Source organism: Homo sapiens, chromosome 4 (assembly GCF_000001405.40).
Source record: "Homo sapiens chromosome 4, GRCh38.p14 Primary Assembly".
NCBI classification, from domain to species: domain Eukaryota; kingdom Metazoa; phylum Chordata; class Mammalia; order Primates; family Hominidae; genus Homo; species Homo sapiens.
The window spans coordinates 133,149,117-133,168,798 of NC_000004.12; the positions used below are offsets into that span (position 1 = coordinate 133,149,117).

Here is a 19,682-nt window from a genome sequence, read left to right on the forward strand (position 1 = left end):
CTCACCCCGGCCGCTCGGGCGAGAGTTCTGTCCCGCCCCGCCCGGCTGCCGCGTGACGTGTCTGTTTGGCGGCCAGTTTGGCCAATCATCGGCAGCTCGGTGGGTGGTGCTCCTGGGCGATTGGTTGGCAGAATGAGGGCGCTGCGCAAAAACGGAGAAGCCGAGCGCTCGGAGCTCAGAAACTGCCAGCCCAGACCACAGGCTCAGAGGCTGAAGCAGGAGGAAGGAAGGACTGGAAGGAAAAAGAGACAGGTTAGAGGGAAAGAGGCTTGGGAAGAAAACAGCAGAAAAGAAACTGCTCATTACACTTACAGAGAGGCAAGTAACGGTGGAGATGAGGACAGAGGGAACCAAGACTCTGAAAGACAAAAAATACAAATAGAGCGAAAGAGGAAAAAAATGTCAAGAAGAACATCCATCCGGAGAAATGAAGAGAATGAAAGTTTTAAGCTGCAGAGCCGTTCTGTGCTTTTCCGGCACAAAATTATATCGCTGATTTTAAGCCCTTTTGCATTTGCCAGCCGTTGACATTAAGAGGCATGTTTAACGGTGCCAACAGCATCTCCTTTTCCTTCTCCTCTTCCTCTTCTTCTTCTTCCTCCTCCTCCTCCTCTTTTTCCTCCTCCTCGTTCTCCTCCCATCAGCAAGAAGACAAACCGAGGACAGTCTTGAAATATCGAAATTTCCTCTTTGGGATTTGCCAGCGCCAAGACTGTCGGAATAAAGGACGCTGACTATTGTATTATTGTTATTTTATTAATTAGTCAGTGGAAAGATTACAGATGAGGAAAGGGGACGCCTGTCACCCTTCCTGTGCTAAGATTTAAAAAAAAATGAGGCTGGATTGCGGGAAGCTCTAAAATGAAGCAAAAGGAGTAAGATTTTTAAAGACAGAAAGCCACAGGAGCCCCCACGTAGCGCACTTTTATTTGTATTTTTTCAGATTTTTTTTTGTTTCGTGGTGGTGGGGGAGGTGATTGGGTGGCTGACTGGCTGCGGGAAGCTACTTCCTTTCCTTTTGGAGATGATTGTGCTATTATTGTTTGCCTTGCTCTGGATGGTGGAAGGAGTCTTTTCCCAGCTTCACTACACGGTACAGGAGGAGCAGGAACATGGCACTTTCGTGGGGAATATCGCTGAAGATCTGGGTCTGGACATTACAAAACTTTCGGCTCGCGGGTTTCAGACGGTGCCCAACTCAAGGACCCCTTACTTAGACCTCAACCTGGAGACAGGGGTGCTGTACGTGAACGAGAAAATAGACCGCGAACAAATCTGCAAACAGAGCCCCTCCTGTGTCCTGCACCTGGAGGTCTTTCTGGAGAACCCCCTGGAGCTGTTCCAGGTGGAGATCGAGGTGCTGGACATTAATGACAACCCCCCCTCTTTCCCGGAGCCAGACCTGACGGTGGAAATCTCTGAGAGCGCCACGCCAGGCACTCGCTTCCCCTTGGAGAGCGCATTCGACCCAGACGTGGGCACCAACTCCTTGCGCGACTACGAGATCACCCCCAACAGCTACTTCTCCCTGGACGTGCAGACCCAGGGGGATGGCAACCGATTCGCTGAGCTGGTGCTGGAGAAGCCACTGGACCGAGAGCAGCAAGCGGTGCACCGCTACGTGCTGACCGCGGTGGACGGAGGAGGTGGGGGAGGAGTAGGAGAAGGAGGGGGAGGTGGCGGGGGAGCAGGCCTGCCCCCCCAGCAGCAGCGCACCGGCACGGCCCTACTCACCATCCGAGTGCTGGACTCCAATGACAATGTGCCCGCTTTCGACCAACCCGTCTACACTGTGTCCCTACCAGAGAACTCTCCCCCAGGCACTCTCGTGATCCAGCTCAACGCCACCGACCCGGACGAGGGCCAGAACGGTGAGGTCGTGTACTCCTTCAGCAGCCACATTTCGCCCCGGGCGCGGGAGCTTTTCGGACTCTCGCCGCGCACTGGCAGACTGGAGGTAAGCGGCGAGTTGGACTATGAAGAGAGCCCAGTGTACCAAGTGTACGTGCAAGCCAAGGACCTGGGCCCCAACGCCGTGCCTGCGCACTGCAAGGTGCTAGTGCGAGTACTGGATGCTAATGACAACGCGCCAGAGATCAGCTTCAGCACCGTGAAGGAAGCGGTGAGTGAGGGCGCGGCGCCCGGCACTGTGGTGGCCCTTTTCAGCGTGACTGACCGCGACTCAGAGGAGAATGGGCAGGTGCAGTGCGAGCTACTGGGAGACGTGCCTTTCCGCCTCAAGTCTTCCTTTAAGAATTACTACACCATCGTTACCGAAGCCCCCCTGGACCGAGAGGCGGGGGACTCCTACACCCTGACTGTAGTGGCTCGGGACCGGGGCGAGCCTGCGCTCTCCACCAGTAAGTCGATCCAGGTACAAGTGTCGGATGTGAACGACAACGCGCCGCGTTTCAGCCAGCCGGTCTACGACGTGTATGTGACTGAAAACAACGTGCCTGGCGCCTACATCTACGCGGTGAGCGCCACCGACCGGGATGAGGGCGCCAACGCCCAGCTTGCCTACTCTATCCTCGAGTGCCAGATCCAGGGCATGAGCGTCTTCACCTACGTTTCTATCAACTCTGAGAACGGCTACTTGTACGCCCTGCGCTCCTTCGACTATGAGCAGCTGAAGGACTTCAGTTTTCAGGTGGAAGCCCGGGACGCTGGCAGCCCCCAGGCGCTGGCTGGTAACGCCACTGTCAACATCCTCATAGTGGATCAAAATGACAACGCCCCTGCCATCGTGGCGCCTCTACCAGGGCGCAACGGGACTCCAGCGCGTGAGGTGCTGCCCCGCTCGGCGGAGCCGGGTTACCTGCTCACCCGCGTGGCCGCCGTGGACGCGGACGACGGCGAGAACGCCCGGCTCACTTACAGCATCGTGCGTGGCAACGAAATGAACCTCTTTCGCATGGACTGGCGCACCGGGGAGCTGCGCACAGCACGCCGAGTCCCGGCCAAGCGCGACCCCCAGCGGCCTTATGAGCTGGTGATCGAGGTGCGCGACCATGGGCAGCCGCCCCTTTCCTCCACCGCCACCCTGGTGGTTCAGCTGGTGGATGGCGCCGTGGAGCCCCAGGGCGGGGGCGGGAGCGGAGGCGGAGGGTCAGGAGAGCACCAGCGCCCCAGTCGCTCTGGCGGCGGGGAAACCTCGCTAGACCTCACCCTCATCCTCATCATCGCGTTGGGCTCGGTGTCCTTCATCTTCCTGCTGGCCATGATCGTGCTGGCCGTGCGTTGCCAAAAAGAGAAGAAGCTCAACATCTATACTTGTCTGGCCAGCGATTGCTGCCTCTGCTGCTGCTGCTGCGGTGGCGGAGGTTCGACCTGCTGTGGCCGCCAAGCCCGGGCGCGCAAGAAGAAACTCAGCAAGTCAGACATCATGCTGGTGCAGAGCTCCAATGTACCCAGTAACCCGGCCCAGGTGCCGATAGAGGAGTCCGGGGGCTTTGGCTCCCACCACCACAACCAGAATTACTGCTATCAGGTATGCCTGACCCCTGAGTCCGCCAAGACCGACCTGATGTTTCTTAAGCCCTGCAGCCCTTCGCGGAGTACGGACACTGAGCACAACCCCTGCGGGGCCATCGTCACCGGTTACACCGACCAGCAGCCTGATATCATCTCCAACGGAAGCATTTTGTCCAACGAGGTAAGGCTGAAGCGAAAGGACCACCATCTCTCATCTCCTCCATCAGAAAGCCTCCTCTAGCCCGGCCCTTGTATCTCTGGTGCACTGTATCTATTTTTAGGATATTAGCTTATGTGTATCGTTGTGGGAGCAGAGATGGGCGGTCACCTTCTCCCACTCCTTCGTGTGTAACCTAACTTTCGCGTTGTTCCACCCTTTCACATTTATTTTCATTCCGTCCCCTTGGTACTTTGCCACCTTGGAGCTCCCTCCTTTGCTCTTCCATCCTGTCAGTCCTTTCCCTTCTCAGTAACCTGGGCATGAAGGGAAACTGCGTGAAGGGAGAGGGAAATGTGGAGGAGGGACTTACTTTCTAGCACTGGCAAAGGTCTTTTTTCTTTGCGTCTGTCCCAGGCATTAATAAAGTTGGCTCTATTTTGCTTTGTTTAACGATGCTTTTAGTCGCGTGTACAAGTAAGCTATAGATTGTTTAACTTTACACAGTTGTCTAACCTCGAATTCATGTTTTAGTGAACAAGTTACCAGATCCTTCTCCTCTGAACTCGGGTTGCAAAAAAAGCCTTCAGTTCGGCTCTGGACAGCATTTACAGACGCTCTTGAAGCCGAGCGCCCACACAGTGTGAATTTGAATGAAGCTGCGTTGGCACAAACCCCTGTTAAGAGTAAACTAACGAAAGGCTTAAACAATTGTTGTCTTAAATATATCTTTTTAGCTAATAATCACCTTCTTGCCACTGTTTTGGATAAATCACGCTGTTGGCTTTCTTCATAAAAGAATTTGGCTTGTCAATTCTGACTTCTTTTTAAAAGGATGGAGAAGTGACAAAGTCGGAGGGTGGGGGTTGGGGGGAGAACAAAGTTGGTTTATGTGAAAGAAAGCTTGGACCGGAAAGGTGTGTGGGTGGTAGAGGTGGGGAGGCGAATGCAGAGGGCCTTTGGAGGGGAAAAGAATGGGGGTGGTGGGGGGCGGGCAGGATTATGAACTCCTTTCCTGGCAGGTTATTTTATTTGAGTCTTAGATATTATTAATTGACTTTCATGAATATTTGTACAGCTCATTTGTATCTTAAGCACATTTTGAAAATAAACAACAACATAATTCCATGAAATATCCAAACTTTTTGCTTATTGAGCGTGCTGTTTTTCTTGTGTCAACCAGTATGCACCTAAACACTTTTTTAAGCCACTGAAGGAAAAGACAGCAGAATATAAACAGGTTGACTCTGTTAGAGACAATAGTATATGAGCTCTAGCCATGAGGTCATTTGCATTTTCTCTTTAAAAAACACACACACATTTAAAGTTAGCCAATTTTTTTTTAACCTTTACAAGTGACTAAAATGTGGATTTAAGTGTCCCTGCATATCTCCCCTGCCCTTACACAGCAATCACTAGGATGAGGTTTTAGGAGAGCTTGGAAATTCATAAAAATGTATACAATTACTTAAGCTAGATATAGTTCCTAACCTCAAAAGTAGACTGCTAGTTCAACCCATAGCATTCAAATGCTCTTGATTTATTTATTTTTTTCCTAGACTAAACACCAGCGAGCAGAGCTCAGCTATCTAGTTGACAGACCTCGCCGAGTTAACAGGTATGGACTCTTTTTTTCCCTAGCAGTAATGGACAATTTACAACCTAGTAAAAGTAGGAAGTAGGTATATTATTCTAAATTAAAATTGAAATGTATAAAATATTTTCAATTAAGGCAGGACATAAATATGAACTATATTGTGTTTCCTAGACAATACATTAAAAATTATACATTATATTTCATTTATATACAACGCTTAAACTATATTTGAATATTTTGTCAATTTACACTCCTACACAGCTTCCGATAGTCTTCCTCACTGTTCCAAATGTATATTTATATCTATTTTATGAAAATGATATAAACATGTATTTAGCTCCAATTATAGAGTAATGCCTAAACTTTACATGACTTAAGTGCTCAAAATGACTGTTAATCGATCATTTTTAAATAGTTAAGCTTAGGCTATAAAAACTAGCTTTATGCAGAAACAAAGCCAACTAAGAGGTCTGTGAGTCTGCAGCACCATCTGTGACCATGTGGTGGCAGAAGAATGTTTTCTGTGTTTCTTCACCTTTTTTATTCTAATATTCACATTTTTGTACTTCTAGTTCTGCATTCCAGGAAGCCGACATAGTAAGCTCTAAGGACAGTGGTCATGGAGACAGTGAACAGGGAGATAGTGATCATGATGCCACCAACCGTGCCCAGTCAGCTGGTAAGTGTGATCAAAGGGCAATCTAAATGCTAACTTTTATAGTTTTTGTTTTTAAAAATAAACGTAGGAAGGATGATGTCCTAGGCAATTTTCCATAGGTCTAATGCTGGTAACTCTACAGAAAAATAGTGTCACTCTACTTTGATATTTGCAGACTTAAAGAGAATTGTAAAAATGCAATGTTCCTTTGGAGAGTTAATGTTAGGAATTCATTGTAGAGAGTGTCAGAATACGAAATATATCTTGCTTATGTAATGTTCTTTAATGGACACATTGCATACAGAAAGACATAGCTCTCTCACTTGGTCCAGTTACCAGTCTTCAGTCAATTAAGGTATTCTTAAACTTGTTTATGGATGAGATAACTGAAGATAAATAAAATTGATTGACCTGCACAAGGTCACAAGAAGATAAATGGATGATTGAAGACTAGAATCCACATTTCTTGTTTTCCAGGGCAATGCATTTTACACACCACCAAGTATTGAATGAGAAAAGTAATGGTGATTAAAAGTCATTAATGGATTGAAAACAGAGTTTCTAATCTTGAGTCTTAGGCTTCAGAACGTTAGGTAATATGTGATAATGTGTATTTTTTGAAGTGTCCTTGGTTTCTTCATATTTTCAACAGGGTCCATGACACATCAAAAGGTGAACTCTGAGTATATTTGTTTGTGGGCTTGATGGTAGTCACTGATAGGTTTCAATGTGCTATATATTCATTTTATTTCACTTTTCTTTTTAGAAAGTCAAGTTTTATGAGATCCTGGTAACTCTTATTACTAATACTAAAAGGAAACTCTTACATGAAATAAAATATGTATGTTAAAATGAAAATGATTTAATAAACTTCTGGTGTCCTTCCTAATTTTTTGGTTTTCATCTTTGAAGGGTGTTTGTTGAATATTTTACTTTTTCTATCTAGTTTTGTGTTTATTTGACACATGAAGAAATAGAAAGGCTAGTCAACTTTTCTAACTCCTGAAAATGTCGATCTTAGACTGTCTTTGGGTTCAACTCTCTTGAGACTGGACCTTTATTTTACTTAATAATATAACCATAGAGTGATAGGTTCTCATTTTCAAGGTGATATTAGTCCTCGAGAGCACCCATTCCTTAACACACTTGTGGACCTCTGGATGGTGCTGAGGCAGTGTGTCAAAGGGCAGCGTACACCCCATGGTGGCCTGGCAGCAGTGGTTGCTACAAGCCTCTCACTTGGCTAATGTGTGCTGTGTCTGTGGCTGCCTTAGCCTTGGGAAACCCAGGCAGGAGGAAGGGAAAAAAGGCTGCTCAAGGGTCTCTTTATATTGCTGTGAGTCATTAATATGCAGGCCTAATGAGACTTGAGAACTGCCAAGAATCCCCGGAGGTCTCTGCCCCTTGCGGGCCTTCACGCTAAGTGAACAGAGCATCTATTTAGTGTCTGGGAACCTGACAACAAACCAGATCTTGCCAGAAGTTTATATGTGCGTACAAAGTCCCTTTCATTTTTGCCCTATATATGGCATATGATTTATTGTTATCTTTAAAAACTGTACATTTAGCATTGCTCATTCCTGTTCTTTTTCAGAGTTTCTAATTTAACTGTCAACCTTTTAAAACTTTTAAAACAAAATGTTTAATGTTTTAAAGAGTATCTGTTGCATGTTTCTTTGGATGCATTTTACTCCTTTCCCACCCCACACGCCCCGCTTTGTTTTTCCTGTAGCACTTCAATCTCAATGAACATTTCAATTAGTTTAGTCCCTCAGACATAATGACCCATAATAACCTAACTGAAGAAAGAGAAATGAATAAACATCTGCAAAAGAGCCAAATTTGGAAGATAGATGAGAACATATTCTTATCAGTGCATCTTCCCAGTAGCTACTTTATTTCACAGTCACTCAGTGTTACCATTTCTGTAATGTTTCTTTCAAATTATTGGAGATGTCAAAGCATTTAAAAGAATACTAAAATGTTAAAATGTGTTGTGGAAAACATTTCAGCCAGGCAGTTTTTGTTTTTATCAAAATGTTAAAATTTTTTTGTATCTTTAAGTTCTTAAACATGTAAAAGTGTTACAGAATTAACAATCCTTTTATGTATCTTATTAGTAGTTACACGGCAGCCACAACATACTGGGCACAATAATAGCTATTTTAGGATTGTAATAAAGCACTTATGTTAAGAAGTGATTGCACCTTTGTGTGCTGAATTGCAATCAGATTTAATGTCTAATTTTATTGTAAGAATAATTTTGAAGTGTTTTCTTTTTTAAGTATAAAACCTCAAATGCAGAGAATTAAAATGCATTTGCTTAAAGACTTTTTTCAATCCATACTGCTGTTATGTACTATAAACCTCACATCAGGCAGCTAGACTATTTCCAAAAATTTAAGCCCATTTCAGATAAATCTGTTTTATTTCATTGTAAAGCCAGATATTAATGATTTTCCAATTTTGCAAAATTAGGTAATATTACTCATAGCATAGCTTTCTAAGTTCAGGATAGGAAAAAAACCTTGTGTTATAATAAGCAAATCTCACTTAACTAGGTTTTAGTAGGGAAAAGTTAGATTATCAAGCAAAACTAACATTGGAAAGATAGAGACTCCGAATTCTCTCTTTCAGTTTGTACCATATTCCACACTATAGTGTACAGACTATTTAGCTTAGTGCTTCACCTGTTTAAACTTCCTTTTTCTTTATTCCTATTTCTTTTTCTACATTAACATTATTCTGTATTATTTATTTAGATATGCCTTCTATTTATTCTTTTATGAATAGTTTTCTTTTTTTGTTCTATCTTCCACCCCCTCCTTCTTGCTTTTCTTTTTTCTAAGCCATTTGCCGTCACCAATGTTGTTCATAGAAGGGCTTTAAACACGAAGGCAGCTGCACAGAGAATCACATAAGCTTTTTCAGTTTTCCACTGCACCTGGCTCCATGTGTGAAATTCTTCGCCTTGACCACTGCTCTGTGGCACTTTCTTTCTATAGCCTTGTCAAGGTGCTTCCCGTTTTTTTCAGTGAACTATTGATGTATTGGTTAGATATGGCAGTAGTCCAAGGAGAAGTGGCAAATGCAGACATAAACCATCACAAGAGGAAAAACTGATTAATCACAGCTTAAACAGCCAAAGAATTGGACTTTAAAGAAATATATTTTCAACTTTATTATATCATTAAAGCATAATTATTTCTTCTATTTTAGGATACAGATAGAATATTTTAAATTGTATATTCTTAAACATTTTAATATTATTTGAGGTATATCTAAAGTGATCTGTTTAGTAGTGAGAGGTTGCTTTTCCCGTTATAAAATACCTACATTGTCAATAATGCTAAGCTTAATTATAGATTTATTTTTAATACCTTGTGCCTTTAAAAAAATATGTTGAAGAGATAATCCTAATAAGTGATTGAATTACTTGTTAGACATTCTCTGAAAATTGTCAAATTTCTCTTCAATAATTTTTTCTTTCAGTTATAGGAGAACTTATCTTCCAAATATGTTTAGTTTCTAACTAATTATAGATATAATGCATGGTCAAAATTTGGCTATGAATTTTAAAAATAAAGTGATTTGATTGGTCAATAATTTCAAATTAGTAGATAAAATATACCATTGAAATGCATTAAGCCAGTGCATTACTACAGTGTCAGCAATAGAATTCTTGGTTTATTATAAACACAAATACCTATTTCCAAACTCCATTAAGAATTTAGATAATTGCCAAGTTTGATTTTGGGTTTATATATAAAATGGATTTACACCAGTATTTATAAAACCTTATTCACTGGTGAAACTTTGAGCTGCAACTTGAAAATGTGCAGAGATTTATAACTGGAGGCAATATAGAAGATGAAATATTGAGAGGAAATGGTGAAAAATATATACATTTTGAAAGATTATTGGTAGGGAGAAAATTTTGATGGGCATATTTTGATTTTTTTCATGAGTGAGTTATGTTAATAACTATCTGCTTCAAAACCATGTTTTTCTAAAACATACTGCAATTTTTGTGGTTACAATTAATGTATTTTAAGTCGTTAAAAGAGGACTAGAAATCTCAAAAAATGAAAAGTTTTATATCTTCTTTAAAATTAATTTATCATATTTGGAAAAAAATAAACGCTTTGAATGAAAGCTTGTTGCACAAAAAGAAATGTTCACGCAATATTGTATTATGACAGTCACCGAAAAAGTAGCACAAATTGAATTCTAAAATTTTTGAAATCACAATTTGGTCTCAATGGAAATATCCACTGCCTGTGAGTGTACAGGACAAGTTACTTGCCAGTTGAAAACCATGTACTTTAAAATTTGTCTAAATATATCTTTGCATAACAGGCAGTCTATCACATCAGCTATCATCCCTTGCAGAACAGATTATTTCTGAAAAGTGGAAAAAATAAATAACTAGAAAAAGAGATTGCAAGTAAAAGGTATATGTTGAAACATTTATTAGATATTACCAAAATTTCAAAACTGAGGTTTGGAATAATAGACATTGGAGACTCTGAAAGGTGGGAAGACTGAAGCCAGGTGAGGGATGTGAAATTATCTAATGAGTACAATTTACATTATTCAGGTGATGGTTACACTAAAAATCCAGACTACACCACCATAACAAAATTGCACTTGTATCCCTAAAGTCTATTTAATTGTTTTTTTAATTTAATTGAGTTTTGGTCTGTAATTTTCTGTTCTAAAATCCCACAGTTTCCATAGTAAGGCATTTGAATGAGAAAAAGAAAAATTAAGTTAAACTTATTAACTTTTGAGCTGCCAATTTGAGCTATTAAAAAATTGTAAGAGCAGTGTTAAAGTTATGCATTTTAATATATCCTAGCTACTGTAATATCTGGCATCCCTGTGCATCATAAAGTCATTTATCACAACAAAACTTAAATATGCCTCTGCTTACTTGGTAATTAAAGTGCTATATTTAATGGGACTAGGGACAGGAGATAAAAGATAAAATGTTAGTTATACAGTATCTTCCAAAGGTGAGGAATCGTAATGGAATAAATTTATGTAGCTCTCAAACTATATAACTACATAACAAATGAAAAAATCAATTTTTAATTAATTTTTCTGTTACTTATCTGAAGTTTATTGATTTACTATTTACGTTGTTTTAAATGTTTGTTTCTATGTCTGATTTTTCTTCCTGAGAAATAGGTACACTTATCAATAATACTGGTGAAACATTTATGTACAATTTGAGCCACCTTACCTTTCCTTCTAGTTATATGAAGCTGTATATTATTACTAAAGGACTTCCACTTTAAAAGGATTAATTCATAGATTTATTAAGAACATTATTTACATGTTTATTGCCTCTGTAGAGTGATACTGTTCATTGAACAAAAAACTTTTTCTATATCCTCACTTTTTTTTTTTTGCCATGCACATGCTATAGTTTATTTTTAATACAGATTCTCAACTTGTGTGAACTTTACTACATAATCTAAGGAAATTTTAACCAAACTCAAATAATCGAAAGAGGCAGAAGAAAAACATACTTGCCAGATAGGAAAATAGGCACATTGGAGTAAAAACTACGTAAAAGTAATTTCTACCAAAATCAAGCAGTATCCTAATATATGTTGACATACTAGATTATTAAAATTATGTGTGGAATCGTCATATTCACAATTAGAAGAGTAGTTGGGCCTAGGTGCAAAAAAAATATGTGAAAGGTTGTATATTGCCTTATCTAGAAAATGATATTTAGTCGTCGTGAAGAAAAATGATATTAGTTCTAATGTATATTGGAATGTAATTATATCAGCTATTCAAATTGAGTATATTTTTATTTTAGAAATAAATAATGGCTCATAATAATTTTACTCTTAAAGACGTTTCTACTATTAAAAAAATCTATGTTCCCCCATCATTCTATTAATAAATAGGCAGCACTTATCATGTCAAAGTATCAATCTTCTCTCTGGTTCTGTAGCCTCTACCTAGTTAGTATGTAAATGTGTATCAGGGACATTCTAGTTCCCTTTCTTTTTTTCTTTTCACATATCTTCTTGCAAAATTAGGATAAAGGAGTGAGCTTCTCTGGTGTCTAGTGAAACATTTACATGTTTTACATGCTGTTCTCAGTCAGATTCCTTAATCCCAGCTTCAGCTGACGTTTCCGTTCCTCAACAGTTCACTGATCAGTAATTTATTTCCAGACTTAAACAGGAAAATTATCAGTGAAATATTATAATCAAAGTCAGACTTAGCATTCTACATAGTTTAATATAAAATTTTAAAAAAGTCATTACGCAGTGAGATTAATATATGATAAGAAGCTTGGTGTTACTTTTTAAAATTTATGTAATTTGCTATTCTTAACTCCAAAATACTAGAGTTAAGTATTAGATAATCTAGATAATCTAGATAGTGTTAGACAAACCAGAGTGTTCATAATTTTGAAAAATTATTTTATTTTATATATGCAGATAACATATACACAAATATATATAAATCAATATGTAACAGAATACTATCAGGAATTTAAAAACTAAAACTTGCTCAAGAGCTCAAATCACTTGTGATATTAATAGAAGTAACAATCAAGTATGTTCATTAAATAAATATTCTTTTGATTTAAAAAATGTTTTTCCAGACTGTGCATGGATTCGAGTTTCTTTTCTACAGACTAATAATATACTTTTGTTTTTCAAATTGATCCTCTTTTAAAATTTTTTTATTATTTTTTCTTTTTTTAAAATATTATTTAAAAAATAAAGTGGCCTACTAGGCACTGTCATTCCACACCCAGCTCCATGCCAGTGAGCTGGGGAGCTTCTTAGCCATTTAAAGTTTGAGAATAGGTTGAGATTGCTTTGGCCCTGTTTTAAAATATCTGATAGATATGTTACTATGTTTAGAAAAACATTAAAATGCTATTTTTGTTTATGTGTTTTTCTGTGTAGTGCTATATATATCAGCATTAATATCAAATAGTATTCTGTAGTGCTTGAAAATTCTTATGCTTTGCTTAAGAAACTGAATGACCTTTCTTGATCATAATCAGATAATATTTGTAATCTTGTCAATCTAAGGAAGACAATGAAATTTGAACTTGTCCTTTGAAATCTTGGTATTATAGGATTAGTAAGCAAACAACTCTTTGTTGACTAGGACAAGTGTGTTCCAATATAGAGCAAGTAATAACGTATTTGTCAATAGTATCTGCAGTTGATTTACACTGCATTTGGTTACCTTGGTTTCATTAATTACAGTCATTTGTTCTGGATTTGTCTAAGGTGGTAAATAATAAGTGGTTTTTAGTAATATGGACTACCAGAGTGTCATTGAGGAATACCTTTAGGAAGTCATTTCCTAGAAACCTCGGAAAATATGCTTTTAGCTGCTAATGAAATTGTGTTTTATTCTTGTTTTTTACTGATTTTCCTCTGTGTATGCCACATTTCTGTTGAATTTCACTTTCTGCTTCATATTCAAATTTCATAATCTAAATATCATTTTTGGTGCTTGGCATATTTCTTATGTTATTTGTTTTTAAGGAAAAAAGTCAAATATTTATCATTGTTAGGGATCATGGATTTTAAAGCTTTTACACCTTGTTGTTTTATCTGTTATGAACTTCACAAGAGATTTTTTAAAAGATGTCTACCATTTTTATTCACCATTTCCCAGTTATTTAAATTGTTTAGAGCCAATATTTTGCCCAATACCCTAAGTAGTTTAGAAACATTTATCTCAGAGGCCTCTTTGCCAGAAGAGTCTTATCTTTTACATTTGCAGATCATTTTCCCTTTTTAAAGTGATGAACAAAAATGAGACAAAATAATATTTGGTTCCTGTCAGGATAAGCCAGGAAAAATTTGTTAAGACAACTTCACTTGTCACCCTTTATGCTACCTGTAATCTTACACTGCTAAGTAACTGGTCATGTTGGTGAAGACTACATCCGTAGTTTCTGTTTTCTGCTTACAGGTATGGATCTCTTCTCCAATTGCACTGAGGAATGTAAAGCTCTGGGCCACTCAGATCGGTGCTGGATGCCTTCTTTTGTCCCTTCTGATGGACGCCAGGCTGCTGATTATCGCAGCAATCTGCATGTTCCTGGCATGGACTCTGTTCCAGACACTGAGGTGTTTGAAACTCCAGAAGCCCAGCCTGGGGCAGAGCGGTCCTTTTCCACCTTTGGCAAAGAGAAGGCCCTTCACAGCACTCTGGAGAGGAAGGAGCTGGATGGACTGCTGACTAATACGCGAGCGCCTTACAAACCACCATATTTGAGTAAGTATTACACAAAGGGCTCTGTTAAAGTGTTCCCTTTGAGGAGATAAAGTTCAACATTCCACTCTTTTTGGTAAAAATGGAGTTCAGGTTTTTTTAAGAAATAAAGATAAAAGTGACTGGATGCTGGCAGCACTTTAGGGCAATATTCTTTATTTAAAATAATAGATTCCTCTAACATTGAGACATTAATAATTGCACTGAGCTCTTTCAAAATATAGGACTATATTCTCCAAATTGATTATTTTATATAATCATTGCAAACAATAAAAATGCTTTGAGATTCCATAATATATTTCCTTTGAGGATCTTGGTAATGAGAAATAGAAATATTTTTCTTTTAGTTAATGGATAAATATTACTGGCAATTCAATATCTTGGTCAAACTACATAAATAATGTTTGATAAAGATAAAACTCATAACAACTCAATCAAAAGATGACTTACATAGCAGATCCATCCTACGTAATGTTTTATTTCATCTACTACAAAAATAACTGTGGAACTTATAAGCTAGAACGAAAGATGAGACAGATTGTAGATATGTCATTTCTTTTATGACTGATGAAATTGAAAAGTAAAAGAGTTTTTAAAAACTTAAAGGAAAAAAACAGAGGAATATTTATTTTAGCCTTTATGAAGTATAACGTGAAAAGCAAAGATTGAATGCATTGAGGTTGTGGCTATTAACCTGGACATAGATAAAGCAAATAGACAAGTGTTATATGCTTAAAGGAATGGTCTTTTATTAGATGCATACATTGTAGTGACAACAATAGGTGGTGTTTTATGAAGGATTGTTTTCAGCTTTTCAAATTACTCAGAACCACAAATACCCCAGCATGATGTACCACTTTAGCACTTCAGAACCAAAAAATCATTTGTTTTGCTTTATTTTTTTAAAGTTATACAAAGAGAGAACAAATACTTAAAGACAGGAAATATTGAGATGTCTAAAATGCAATTTGGATGCTAATGTCTTAAGTTTAACTCACAAATCCACACATGCTAGTGAATTAAAATAGCCTAAAATCAAACTTTAATAAGTGAGGAACATGATGCGATCTTTGCCTCTGAAATTGAATTCTGGATTCAAAATTTTATTTATTATTAAAAGTAAAACTTTTCCAAATTTTAAACAGCATATTTAACTACTGTTTCACTTAAACTAAGAATGTACATTATAGAAATACATTATTAATCATTTCAAGGCAAAAAGTGAAGGGTATATGATTCAGATTAATAAAAATTTGCATTTCTAAATAAATACAAATATTTGCTTTTACCATATAATAACAGGTAAATCTACTTCAAATATAGTGGGAAAATCAACTTGCCCTCTTTTGCTCTTAGTGAGTACTAATCTTGGTGAAATTACACTTACACATAGACCTGGAATTTTTAACATTTACAGATGTCTTTTCTTTACTGACTGGATTTTTTTATTAATAAGACTAATGGAAACAATTTTTATTATTAAAATATTAATGCTGCATATATTTTAATGCAAATTTTTCTATTTCTTAAGAATCTGGTCTTTCATTTAGAAATCTGATTCAGGGATTATGAAATTTATTAACAGTTATGTGTGTTGCTAAAAATCAAAAGAATGCATCTATTATTTCACCAGGAAAATTTTAATTATTTGCTCATTTTATATATATATTCATATATATACACATATATTCATTATATACATATATTCATATATATACACATATATTCATATATATGTGTATATATATGCACTAACACATTCCAACATATATTCATATATATACACATATATATATACATACATATATTCATATATATATGAATATACATATGTTGGAATGAGTTAGTTTTTAATTGTAGTTTTTTTCCCTAATCTGTTTTAGCCAGTTCACACGGCTCAAAATTTAGGGTTTGGGTTGACGTGTGACCTGTGGTGGAAAATTTGCAGAAGAATAGCTATTTTGTTGTTTTCACTTCTGCTCTTCTTAGTTCTTCATACGACTTTAATCATGTCTAGACTGGTTTTTTTTTTTAATTTAACTTTTAGTATTTAATGTCATCTTAGAGTCATCCAATTATATTTAAAATTACACCATGACTCTGACTTAATAATCATAAAAAATTTATAGTTAGTCTGATAATACAAACTCTAAAACAAAACTATTCCTGACCATTTTGCCCCTCAAATTCATATGGTGATAGTTTTTGATACTTGTGTCCTTTTTCATTCAGAATAGAAATAGTGTCATCTTCTAAGTCTAAAGTAAGTCCCTTGCATAATTAAAAAAGCTAAAAATTGACACTACTTGCTTTTAATCAGAATGTTTGAATAATTATTAAAGTTGTAGAGTTTTTTTGCTAAATATGCAGTTTCATAATGAATATAATGTACATTTTGATGTTAGGAAAAATAGCAGTATATTTAGTTATGTTTTTGTAAAGCTCTAAAAAGCCTAATGAGACTGTCACTGTCATTTATACAATAATGACAAGGAAATGACGATATGCTTAAAAATACAAAAGAGATCAATGTCAGTACAAATAACTTTTGATTTCTATACCTCCGATTGCTAAAGTTAAAACTAAAAACTGCAAGAAAACAACTTTTACACAAAAATAGATGGATGCAAACATTAAATAATGTACTTCATGTTCTTAAAAATATGCTTACACTTACATTTCTTTTTATTTTAATGTATTAACAAAAGACCCATGAAGAGTATACATGATGTATTTAATAAAAGGAGACTTTTTAAAAATCAGGAATAATTTTGAACACATCATTCAATACTTGCTGAGTTATTCATGAGCACTTTCTGAGCTTGCTTTCTCTTATTTTTCCTATAATGTTGTAGTTTGCTAAGTTGATATGGAGCAAAGGGATACACTCAAAGATTGAGTAAATAAATTTAAACAGGTAGAACATGGCCATATATTCAGAAATGCCGTATTTAGATTTACCTTAAATGTTAATGAATTTCAGTTTTACTTTACCTTTAATTTTCATTAGCATAATTAAAAACACAAAAATACCATTTCATTTTTAATTAAAATTAATAATTGCCTACAGCACTTTAAATAATCATGTTAAAATGAAAGAAAATATTTTCTGGAGTTTTAAAATAACATTGCATTTTTATCATGAACATTTTAAGGATTTGTTTAGAATCAGACATCTTATTTTAAATGATTCAGTCTTTCAAATGGCACAGTAAGTTATGTGTAAAACCATCTGGATAATCTCCATAAATAAAAATATAAAATGAATATAAAGTCAAGAATGTAATTGACAAAAGTTATATTATTAGTATAATTTCAGAAAACCCTACTAGTTAAAACACTTTAATATTTTTGTAGTCATTCCTGCTTATGATTTTGGCTTTATACTTTGAACACCATCTCTTAAGATTTTTGTCAGTAAATGAACATGAAATTCAGTTCCTATCAGCTTAAACTATACAGTAATAAAGGCGTAAGTATGTGTTATTTGGATACTTGTTGATTTCTTGCCAATAAACATAATCAATTCCTAAAAATTGAAGACAATCATAAGAAACTCAATACAATTACATCAAAATATACTTGTGAAAATATTTCTTTGTCATACAATGATAAATTGAACTGAATAAAGTGAAAAAAAGCTGCATGATAATGACTGAATTTCTAAATCAATGGAGCTTTCTAGAGTCTAAAGGGAACCATTTATTTTCATGGCCCATCTTGCCTTCATATTATACAACATTTAGACTAGTCCAAGTATACTAAAAATCATTCTGGTTGTCTCCTGACCTAATTTTATTTTTGCCAACTTGTTAATCTTATTGAAATTTCAACTTGACGCACCCATATGATGATTAAAAAAATAAATTTCTAAAACAGTGCATTTAAAATACTGCTAAAACTTATCTAGACCTTTTATCAATAAACTTTATTTGAGGGAAATTTTTAGACATCTATATTATGTCTATGTGCACTTCAAGTTTTTAGTTGATTGAAATTGTAGAACATGTTTTGTTTAGTAACATTTCTTCCAATCCCTTCATTATCTCAGCCTGCCTTCTGTGAGTTTTCATAATTTGTTGAACTCAGTAGTGCAGTAAGAGCGTACATAGAATTCAAAATAAAATGACTTTTCTTATAGATACACATTACCTTCATACTTATGTACCTCTGTATAGTGTTTTCTCTAGGATTTGTGTTTTCCTCTAATGTCTTAAATATACTCTCACTATCCAATGTCAAAGTCCAAAAATAAATATTTTTATAGAAGGCCTTGCTTTCATATAGGCCCATACACCGCTAAATGAATGGACCTCTCTTGTAGGATTTTTTCTTTTTAACTTGATATGTTAATTTCTGATTAGTTCTCTTCCATGTTGTGCTACTATGTGTACTCTGTTTCTGAGGGTGGGTTTTTTGTTGTTCCTGTTCTTTTACTCTTTTATATACATACAGATTGGTGAACCTAATTTTCTCACTTTTTCAGTTTATTTCTTTGGGACAGTTTTATGGCCTTAGAAATATACTAGTCATTATATTTTTTTCATTAAATTCCTTTATCCAGGAATTATGAATAAATCTGGCATTATCAAAAAGTTTAGTCACTTCAACTCCATGAATAGGAAACAAATGGTAACTTGACATCAGAAAAAAAATTGAACCCTGTTCATTTTCTCTATCTGAATTTTATTATATTTTATGCTACTTATTTTAAAAATATTACTTATTTTATTGTATTTGGTGAATTTTATTTTATTCTACTTCTCTGAAAAAATGGTCATCTATTCATAGTTCGTGTTATTCCTCCAGTTAACTAACTGATGCAGCAGTTGATGGGAACTTCTCTGTAACACTAGATACATGAGATATTATAATATTTTTTCTTTTTCTTTAGTTGTTGTATAGTCGTCTATCTCAGCTAGTAGAATTTAAAGTGAAAGGTATAAAAATCTGAGGTGCAGATATGAAACACAGCAGTTGTTTTATATATAAATATCTGGTCACTTCTGTAAGCAATTTTTTTTTTACTTACTCAGACATCAGTACTTCCCTGTGACTTATTTCAAGTCATTTAAAATTTGTGCCTGTGGGTAATTTGGAACTAGTTTCATCCAATAAATTTCTATTCCCCCAGTTAAAGAACAATTTCATAGTTTCTTTTATCAATATATTTATCTTTATAATTATCTGTAATATTTAAAAGTGCCATTTTAATGACTTCAAATTGAATTGACTTTATTTTGACAATTTGACCTGTGGTTCACCCCAACCTTTATATTCTAAATATTCAAAACTTACACAATTATAAGTACTATGTTTTGCAACTGCTTTCTCACCATTTATTAACTTTGCTAAAATCTGCTCCAGCTCTACTACGATTTTTCTTCCCAATACAATTACTCCCTTGGCATATTTAGACTCATTATCCAGCTATGCATATTATAAATGCTAAATAATTATGTGATGAAAAATGAATTAATGGGCATTTTTAAAGTATGCAAAATTTCATTAATGTTGTC

The 19,682-nt window shown here is 36.3% G+C and overlaps 1 protein-coding gene across 3 annotated transcripts in view, besides 1 other annotated feature; it reads left to right on the forward strand.

Moving 5' to 3' along the window:
* Nucleotides 92–231: a silencer, noted in NCBI's record as "silent region_15691". NCBI's record gives its function as "represses an Ori minimal core promoter by ATAC-STARR-seq in GM12878 lymphoblastoid cells {active_cell/tissue: GM12878}" and the evidence as "EXISTENCE:reporter gene assay evidence [ECO:0000049][PMID:35858748]".
* Nucleotides 178–19,682, forward strand: part of PCDH10 (protocadherin 10) — a 59,313-nt gene continuing 39,808 nt past the window's right edge. For 2 of the 3 annotated variants that reach the window (XM_011532150.2, NM_032961.3), the window contains exons 1-4: nt 178–3,655; nt 5,191–5,249; nt 5,801–5,907; nt 13,861–14,166. In XM_011532150.2, coding sequence (XP_011530452.1) covers nt 1,025–3,655; nt 5,191–5,249; nt 5,801–5,907; nt 13,861–14,166 — 3,103 coding nt within the window. In that variant the 5' untranslated portion in view covers nt 178–1,024. Of the gene's footprint in view, nt 4,773–5,190; nt 5,250–5,800; nt 5,908–13,860; nt 14,167–19,682 lie in introns of those variants that run through there. The other variant, NM_020815.3, reaches the window with a different exon arrangement.